The sequence below is a fragment of the Homo sapiens genome, chromosome 2, assembly GCF_000001405.40.
Source record: "Homo sapiens chromosome 2, GRCh38.p14 Primary Assembly".
Lineage (NCBI taxonomy): Eukaryota > Metazoa > Chordata > Mammalia > Primates > Hominidae > Homo > Homo sapiens.
In genome coordinates, this window is record NC_000002.12 from 226,714,482 (window position 1) to 226,724,678 (window position 10,197).

The following is a 10,197-nucleotide window of genomic DNA, read 5'->3' on the forward strand; positions in this document are numbered from 1 at the left end:
TGTGTGTACATATCATCATTTGTATAATTAGTCCCACTGATGACTAGACGGGTTTCCAGTCCTTCTTTATTACATGCAATGCTGCAGTGAGAAATCGTGTGTGTACTCCCATTGACAAGTGTATCTACTGCGTAAAATTCATGAGACAGGATTGTGGAATCAAAGGTATATGTATTTGTAATTTTGATACCTAATGCCAAACTGCTTTTCTTACAGTACCAATTTACACTTTCTTCAGCGGGGAAGGATTGACAACCCATTGTGTTTTTAACTTTTTAAAATTTTTGCTAATCTGATAGGTGAAAAATCATGTATAGAGTAAACCATATATTCCCCATGGATTTGAAATGCCCCTTCATTCATAAACAAAATTTATGAATACAAAATTTATGAATACATAAATGTATTTTAGTTTTTTATAGTTAGCCCTTCCACCATTATTCATTCCAGAGAGAAATTCTCTGGCTATTTTTACTTACATACTTTTCCATGTAAACGTTAGAAAAAAAATTCCTACATAGGAAAACAAAACAACTGGTATTTTCATTGGGACAATGTTAAATGCACAGGTTAATTTAAGGAGGAATGACACCGTTACGAGGTTATACCTTCCAGACTCAAAATGTGGCATGTCTTTTTATATATTTCAGTCTTATGTTGTCTTCCTCAGAATTTATAAGTGTTTCTCACATTTGGCTTGCATATTGCTTGTTAAATTTACGCATAGGTAGTTTACCTTTTTAGAAGCTATTTTAAATGGTATATTTTCTATCATACTTTCATACTGGTTTCGAATATCTATAAAAAGGCTATTGATTCTCCTAATATGTTACATATGTTATAATCTTATACATAACATTTAATGATATCTTTTCATCTTTACTGGAATTCTTCCAGTGTTTCTCCACTAGGCACAATGATGGGCTGTGTGGTATAGATGTGGGGGGTGTGTGTGTGTGTCTGTGTGTGTGTGTGTGTGTGTGCGTGTGGTGGGGTGTGTGTGTGTGTGTGTCTATGTGTGTGTGTGTGTGTCTGTGTGGTGGGGTGTGTGTAGTGTGTGTGTATGTGGTGGAGTGTGTGTGTGGTGGTGTGAGTATGTGGGGTGTGTGTGTGGTGTGTATGGTATGTGTGGGTATGGGAGGAGTGGGTTGTGTGTGTGTGGTGGTGTGTGTGTGTAGGTGGGGTGTGTGTGGTGTGTGGTGTGTGTATGTGGTGTGTGTGTGCGTGTGGTGGGGTGTGTGTGTATGTGGTGGAGTGTGTGTGTCTGTGGTGTGTGGTGTGTATTTGTGGGGTGTGTGTGTTGTGTGGTGATGCGTGCATGGTGTGTGTGTGGGAGTGTGGGTTTGGTGGTGTGTGTATGGGGTGTGTATGGTGTGTGTGTGTGTTAAGCTCCTATTTCTATTTTACTAAAGGATCTTTTTCATTTAAAAAATGTATGTTGAATATTATCAAAAATATTTTCTGTGTATATTGAGACAAATGACCTTCTTAGTTTCAGCTACTGGTTTGCTAAATTATGTTAAACTTCTTGATTTTAAATTATGCTTATGTTTCTAAAATAAACCCCACTTGATCATGGTGAATTATTCTTTTATGTGTTACTGGAGCCTCTTTGCCAATATTTTATATAGGAATTTTGCATTGATAGCCATGTAATATTGTTTATGGGCACTCTCTTTCTGCTCTGTCAGGTTTTGAGGTGAGTATTATCCTGGCCTCATAAAAAATCATTTAGGAGCTTTCCCTTATTCTGCCATAACACAACCTGGGTAACACTGGAGTTATCTGCTCTGTGAGGGTTTGGGAGAACTTTATGAAACTGGGGCCAGGGGCTTTCCAAGGTTTCATTTTCACAAACTTGTATTTTGTTTATAGAATTGGGCCTGTTTTTATTTTAGTTTAGTTTTGTTTTTTAAGCCTCAGGGACAGAAGGTTGGGTTTGTCATACATGCCCCTTAATTCATGACACAGTATTACTATTCATTTCACAAGTCTCCATGTTTTTACTTTTAAAAACACATATTTTTCTTACCCTCTTTTCCCTTCCATTCTCTTTCCGTCTTATATAGGCAACCATTCTAATATGTGTAATGTGTATTTAAAAAAAAATTCTCTGCAACCCGCAAAGTGCATTCATTCTTTTATTTACACAAATGACACTGTTATAAATATCATTCTATTTGTTACCTTTTCCCTCAAGCACTATGGTTTAAGATTCATCCAAGTCACTTTGTGAATATCTAATCCATAGCTTCTAATTGGTGCAGTCAACTCGAAGGAGTGGATCCACTTGATTTGACATCACTATTCTTCCTGTGATGGGCGACCTTCTTACCACAAGTGGCTATGCAATTAATACCACTGCACATGGCTCCTTAGGAATCCATGTGAGACTTCATCCGGTGGAACTGCTAGATCATAGCCTATGTGTCTATTTAATCTGACCCCTGTCCACCACTCCTAAGGAACATATGTGAGAATTCATTTGGTGGAATTGCTAGATTATAGCCTATGTGTCTATTTAATCTGACCAAGTAGGGCCAGATTGTACTCCGGAAGAGCTGACCAATCTACACTCCCACCAGCAGCATGTAAGGATCTTTATTCCCCAACGTTCACTGATTACTTAGTTTTCTAATTATTGTCAGTCCAGTAGGGGCACACTGATATACCACTGTTATTTCAATTTTGAATTTTCTTCAGCTACTGGTTAGTTTTGGGGGCATCCTCATAGGTATTATATCTTTTCATATCCTTTGCCCACTTTTCTAATGAACTTGCTGTATTTTTCTTTTTTATTTTCAAGGGTTTCTTGATTAATCCAGGTATTAATCCTTAGCCTTAGACGTTGCAAAGATATCTCATTCTGTCATTATTCTATCACTTTAGTCATAATGATCTTTGCTGAACAGGAATCCTTAATTTTGACTTAATCAAATTTCTCAGATTTTTTAAATTCATGATCTTGTTTTTGAAGTTTTATTTTAAAAATCTTTCCCTGCTCTAGGTAACAAAGGTATTTTTCTATATTTTTTCTATTAACTTAAGAGTTTTTTCTTAGATTTAAGTTTCTAATTAAATCTATTTAGAATCCACCTTTATTTGAGATATCAGGGAAGGATCCATTTGTATTTTTCTCCAAGTTTTTTTGCTACCACCTTAGTTGGATATGTAGTTATAATGTTAGGTTAACTTTACATGTCAACTTGGCTGGGCCATTGAGTCCAAATATATGATCAAACATTATTCTGGATACTTCTGTGGTGGTGTTTTGGATGAGATTAACTTTGAAATTGGTGGCCTTGATTAGAACAGGTTGCCCTCCATAATGTAGTTAGGCCTTATCCAATCAGTTGATGGTCTGCATAGAACAGAAGGATCACCTCCCATAAGCAAGAGAGAATTCTGCAACAGATGAACTTTGGACTTGAACTGCAATATTGGTGGTTCTTCTGTGAGTCCTCAGCCTGTAGTCCCATCCTGCAGATTTTAGATTTACCAACCTCCGAAATCTCATGAGCCAATTCCTTCAAATAAATCTCTTTCTATATAAACACACATCCTGTTGGTTCTGTTTCTCTAGAGAACTCTGACTAATACAGGAACTTCATCTTTAAATACAATTTATTAAGGACCATACATTCAAGGCTTTGGCCTTGAGCTCTTTATTCGTGTCATTGTTCTATTGGTATGATTGGTATTAATATTTCCTTTTTATTACTGTCTATGTAGTATGTCATAATACTTTATAGGACAAGTCTTACTTCTAGTCCCCTTTTTTAAACTGACTTAATAATTTATAAGTTATATAATTTTATTCCTCCATGTACATTTTAGGATAAGTTTATTAAGCTTCCTTTTAAAAATATAAATGTATGGCGAGGCGTAGTGGCACATGCCTGTAATCCCAGCACTTTGGGAGGTCGAGGCGGGCAGATTACTTGAGATCAGGAGTTCAAGACCAGCCTGACCAACATGGTGAAACCTCGTCTCGACTAAAAATACAAAACTTGGCTGGGCATGGTTGTGCATGCTTGTAGCCCCAGCCACTTGGGAGGCTGAGGCAGGAGAATCACTTGAATCCAGGAGGTGGAGGTTGCAGTGAGCCGAGATCATGCCACTGCACTCCAGCCTGGGTGACAGAGTGAGACTCTATCTCAAAAAAATAATAAAATAAAATAAAATAAAATAAAAATGTACTTTTGATTAGGTTCGCACTGAAATTATAGGGAAATTTGTCACAACCAAGAGCATAGGTATTTCTCCATTTTTCTTAATATCTTTCATGTCTTTTATTAATATTTTCTCCATACAGATCTTGTGACTCTTGGTTAAGCTAGCTCCTAGAAACTTTATACTTTTGTTCTCATTGTGAATGGGGTGTTTTTTTTAATTACATTTTCTAGTTGGATATTGTGAAATGCTATTGATTCTTAGAGAATGATTTTGTATCCAGCAGTCTTATTAAACTCTTATTCGTTCTAAAAATTTTTCCAATTTTTAATTTTTTTCAGATTTATGATCATACCATCAACAAATAATAACAATTTAACTCTTTTTTTCCACTGTATACACCTTTGGTTTTGTTTTGTGTTTTGTTCCTTAAGGCATTGGTGAGAACTTCAATTTAAAGAAACTCTTTCTAATCCTGTAGGACTACTACTCTTTTCAGAGTGTTTTAGTCCATTTTCACACTGCTATAAAGAATACCTGAGACTGGGTAATTTATAAACAAAAGAGGTTTAATTGACTCACAGTTCCACATGGCAAGGAAGACACAAGAAACTTACAATCATGGCAGAAGGTGAAAGGGAAGCAGGCTCCTTCTTCATAAGGCGGCAGGAGAGAGAGTGCACAGGGGAATCTGCCACTTTTAAACCACCAAGATTTTGTGGGAGCTTCCTCACTATTATGAGAACAGCATGGAGGAAACTGTCCCCATGATCTAATCACCTCCCACCAGGTCTCTCCCGCAACATGTGGGGATTACAATTCTCGATGAGATTTTGGTCGGGACACAGAGCCAAACCATATCACATAGTAAATGGGTATTAACACATACGAAAAGTTTTATTTGCATCTCTTGAGATAAACACCTGATTTTTCTTCTTTAGTCTATTAAAGTAACAAATTACATTTATAAACTTTACAGTGGCAAACCCTCCTTGTTTTCCTAAGATAAAAATCTTAGGAAAGGCGATACTTTCCACACCCAGCTAATTTTTGTATTATTAGTAGAGACGAGGTTTCACCATGTTGGCCAGGCTGGTCTTGAACTCCTGACCTCAAGGAATCTTAGGAGATTGCACCACTGCACTCCAGCCTGGGCAACAGAGAGAAACTCTGTGTCCTCCTCCCCCTGCCCCCGCCAAAAAAAAAAAAAAGAAAAAGAAAGGGGGGTATAAGTCCAACTGATTTGCATAGGTAGGGACTCTGAATCACTAAAACTTGGATTTAAGTGGTAATGTGGTCCATGGCAGCCCCCAGGCTAGACAGGCTTAGGAACATTTAGACTATATCTGAAATTAAAATGTGACTCAATGGGAAAATGCATTTCTGTACATTAATAGTAAGGTTGCTTGAACAGAAACATGAGATTGTGGATGTGCATAAGAAGCTCTTACTCTAACACATACAGATGTGCACTTTTGTCTTTAAATAAGAATCCAAGTTAGGACTGTACACAATAAGAAAATACTTCCTACTACAACTACTACTTTTGAATAGAATTTAAACTCACTTTGTCTTTCTCTCTACTATACCATCCTCTACTATAATGCACAGACACATACAACATGAGAGCCTTCTGGCGTTTTCTATCAACATGCATTGGGATTTCACATTCCCCCTCCAACAGTCCAGATCCCCTCACCATAGTTCAGAAAAATAAAACCACCTTGTCACGAACCCTTGTCCAGAGACCACTTCTTCCTCCTTTGAATTCCCATGATGTTTTATCTGCACCTCTCATGAGGCTTATCTCTTTCTGTCTTATATTATAGTTGTTTACGTGTGGTACATGTCATGGTCAAGAGGGAAGAAAGTCTGCTGGCTTTAGAGTCAGACCTGTCTCAGGACAGATCCCAGCTCCATCCCTCACTAAGTGGGTGGCCTTAGGAAAATACCAACTCTTGGGAGCCTCCATTTTTTGTTTTGGCAAAATATAAAATAATCCTCTCTCTCATAATTGTTTTGAGGACAGTGCTTAGTAAACAACAAAAAGAAAAAACTCAATCATTTTTATTGCTATCATTACTAGTGATGTTATTTTTGTTATTTCTTATGCCCCTTGCTAATGTATTTGTTTATCCATTCATTCAACAGGTATTTATTGAGGACGAACTATGTGTCAGGCACTGGTTGATGACATGGAAAAAAAAAGACAGAGTTTTAGGGGTAAAGGCAGCAAATAAACAGGCAAACAAATAAATGCAGAGATAATTTCAGATAAAGATGTCCTGTGAAGAAACGAAAACAAGATATGCAACAGAGAGTAAGAGAGGCCAGGGGAGATAAGGGAAGGCCCCTGGGAAGGGAGCTTCTGGGCTGAGACAAGGATAAAAGGGAAGCAACCACCTATGAGAAATTCTAAAGCCAGCGCATCCCAGAGGTGGGGGCAGGACGGCCAATGGGAAGCCTCTGAGCGGGGAATGAACTGACAGCAGAGTAAGCAAAGGAAAACATGGTGTGTGGCACGCAGAGATATAGGCAGGGCCAGACCCTGCAGGGCCCAGTTGGCCCTGATAAAGAGCATGGATTTCATCCTCAGTGTGATTGGAAATCTTGAAGTATGGTTCACTGGGTTGTACTCAGAATCATATCTGCCTCCTGGAGAGATGCTACCCAGCAGCCAGCCCACAGATTTTTGCAAGAGGTAGAGGTGGAGAGAGGGAAAGAAGACTGAAAAGAAGAGAGAGAAGGCAGGAGAGCTGGAGGGAGCAAGGAAGGAGGGAGGGAGGGAATATCACAGCAGACAGACATCCAAGCAGATGAATCTGATGTCAGGGATTCAATGAATCCCCCTGTCAGGGACTCAGTGAATCCCCACTGCCAGGGACTCAAGTCCAGACTGAGGCTGGCCTTGGTGGGTGGGGACATTTTCCATCCTCCTGTGAACATTTGGTGTCACACTGGTCTCATTCCTCGGGTGGTCCCAGATGGCAGTGGGGGGCTGGGGAACTGGGAGGTCTTGCAGAGGAACAACTCCTCACTGCCTCTGGCACTCATCGCTGGCAGTTCTGTCTCTCAGGTTGCAGATAACAACTGTCAGATGGTCTCACTGTGAAGCAATAAGCTTCCCTAAAACAAGGAGGCAGGCCAAGCGCCAGAAAGCTGCAGTCTGGACAAAACACACAGCCTGGAAAGAATTAAAAGTTCATGTGCAATGAACAAAGCACCTCAGGGAAATGTAAGGGGTTAAATATAAGCGCACAATGTTCCCAACGCCCTTGAACACACAAGTAGGAAAATCATCACGCATCCTTGGTAAAGGGAGAGAGAAGCACGGAGAGAAACAAGTTGATGTTCCCATATGAGAACTAAAAATACTGCTGTGAAAGGTTGGCCCTGCCTAAGAATGGAGGGAGAGAGAAATGAAAGACAGTAGGGGAAGGTAAGAAACAAGACAGGAGGAAGAGGCAGAGTGCAGCCCTGCTCAAGGCTCCAGGCTCCTTTCTCACGCTCAGGGCGCTCCCTTCATCTGGATAACAGAGCCTGGATTGGCAGGGTTTCTCAGGACACCCTCCCTGCCGATCTCCCTTTTTCAAAGACACCGTGGTGAGGGGAACCCAGCCACCGCGGTCACACGATTAACCCAAGTCAATAGAAACCGGCGTAAAGAGTGTTTTAGATTAATTCCCCTCAATAAAGCTAAAATTCACCTGAGTTGTAAAAAACTCCAGCTGATACAAAATAAACTACGAAAGTGGCTTTAACGCATCTGAACCAATGAAAGAGAAACAACAGGCTCTTCTTAAATATTTTTCTTCTTACATTTTGATCTGAAATATAAAAAGAACTGAACTCAAACCTGGCCAACCCCAGTGGCAAAATGGTGTATGAGGTATTTTCCAATGGACCAGCATCTCCGAAAGAACACTCCTGGTTCAGAACAAAACAGTAGCACTTAAATGAGGAAGAAGTGTGAGAGTGAGAGAATCTGGAATCATATGTGAATGCACCTTAAAGTTAGCAAGCCTGGATTGATGGGAGTTTCTAGTTACAGCTCCTGTCTGGAGGAAGCAATGCAGTAGTTAGAATTAAAGGTAGAACTAGCTGGCTTGTTTCTTATTCCTAACTTCCCGTTTCCTCATCAGGGTCAGTTCGGTGCTCAGAAAACTGTATAAGTGCGGTTCTGAGAAGCAGTGCCATGATCACAAAAATCCCATCTTGGCTTCATCCTGAACTTTCCTTGAACATCTTTTTTTTTTTTTCTTTTTTATGAAAAAGATAGGATAAGGACTACAAGCAAGGAATTTCTCCTCCTGTCTAGGGCCTTTTAAACTTCACAGTTACAAAAAGGTAGAGCAAACTGGAATGAAGGAAGAGATTTCGTCCAAAAGTTGTGAAGCTGTTTAGAATTAAAATTATTATGTAATCTCTACAATGTACTGAGGGCCAGCTATGGATGAAGCATTTTCAAAATGCTTTGCCTATGGCAGGGTACCTTTCATAACTTCCCAGACCTCTGCAGAGTATCATCATCCCCACGTTGCAGATGGTAAAACTATGGCATAGAGAAGTTAAGCAATTTTCCCATGGCCTCTTCGTGAGTTAGTGGAATTTCCAGGTTGGCCTAGGGCTGCCTCATTTCAATGGCAAAGCCCATTTTCAGAATATAAACTCATCTCTCCATAATTGATACAAGAAATTAAATGGCAGATTTCAATGGCATGCTCATCATTGGTGAAAACCTCCAATGGTTGATTATGGTTTCACTGGGGGCTCAACATTTTTATGGAACAAGCACATGGTGTGCAGGCTTCCTACCTGACATGCTGTAGTGTAGGTTCTCAGAGAAGATATTTTGAGCTCATAATCTCCAACGAGTAATGTACTTTTCTTTTCCCCCGAGACAGAATCTCACTCTGTTGCCCAGGCTGGAGTGCAGTGGCGCGATCTCGGCTCGCTGCAACCTCCACCTCCTGGGTTCAAGCGATTCTCCTGCTTCAGCCTCCTAAGCAGCTGGGATTACAGGCAACCCCCACCATGCCCGGCTAATTTTGTATTTTTTTAGTACAGACGGAGTTTCAGCATGTTGGTCAGGCTGGTCTGGAAGTCCTGACCTCAAGTGACACACCCGCCTCGGCCTCCCAAAGTGCTGGGATTACAGGCATGAGCCACCACACCCAGCCTGTACTTTTAAAATTTTTGGCTGAGAGTTTCTTTGTGTCACGAAGATCAACTCCATCGCTGGGGTACGGAAGAGTAAAAATAGATTTCCCATTAGTAGCAACAAGGAGTTGTTTGTCAGCCAGAAGGAAATTCTTTAGTTCTTTTCCTGTTTCAGTTCTTTTTCTGCCAACATAATTAAGCAAGGTTCATGTTGGGATAAGTCAGAGCCAGCTTCATGTACTGGTGGAATAGTGGGTCATCTATAGCAGATGCCTTCAGAGATGTGAGTAAAAGGGTGTTGAACTCAGACAGGACTTGACAGCACCAGTCAAGTAGGGACCCCCGGACTCCAAAAACAAAGGAGAGGAAAAGTATATCTGTGGTGAATTTATCCAGAATTAAAATTACTCCAAAAACTTAGAAAGGAGCTTTTTTCATTTAGCAAACATGCAAGTTCTATTAATTTTTAAAGTAAAGTTTTATTTATTTATTTATTTATTTATTTCTGAAACAAGGGTCTCACTCTGTCACCAGGCTGGAGCAATCATAGCCCACTGCAGTTTTGACCTCCCAGGTTCAAGTGATCCTCCCACCTCAGCCTCCCAAGTAGCTGGGACCACAGGCACACACCACCACATACGGCTTTTTTTTTACTTTTTGTAGAAGTGGAGTCTCACTATGTGACCCAAGCTTGTTCGAACTCCTGGGCTCAAGCGATCCTCCCACTTTGGCCTCCCAAAGTGTTGGGATTACAGATGTGAGCCACTGAACTGGGCTCAAAGTACAGTTTTTTTGGTTGTTGTTGTTTGTTTGTTTGTTTTTAATGACATGGAAGGGAAAGGGACCACTTCATCATAATAGTTT

General features: G+C 40.2%; 2 annotated features.

The window, feature by feature from the left end:
- Positions 3,232-3,526: a silencer, noted in NCBI's record as "tiled region #3334; K562 Repressive non-DNase unmatched - State 24:Quies". NCBI's record gives its function as "represses a minimal TATA promoter and a strong SV40 promoter by Sharpr-MPRA in K562 cells {active_cell/tissue: K562}" and the evidence as "EXISTENCE:reporter gene assay evidence [ECO:0000049][PMID:27701403]".
- Positions 5,799-5,999: a silencer, noted in NCBI's record as "peak4066 fragment used in MPRA reporter construct". NCBI's record gives its function as "represses an SCP1 promoter by STARR-seq MPRAs in K562 erythroleukemia cells {active_cell/tissue: K562}" and the evidence as "EXISTENCE:reporter gene assay evidence [ECO:0000049][PMID:32103011]".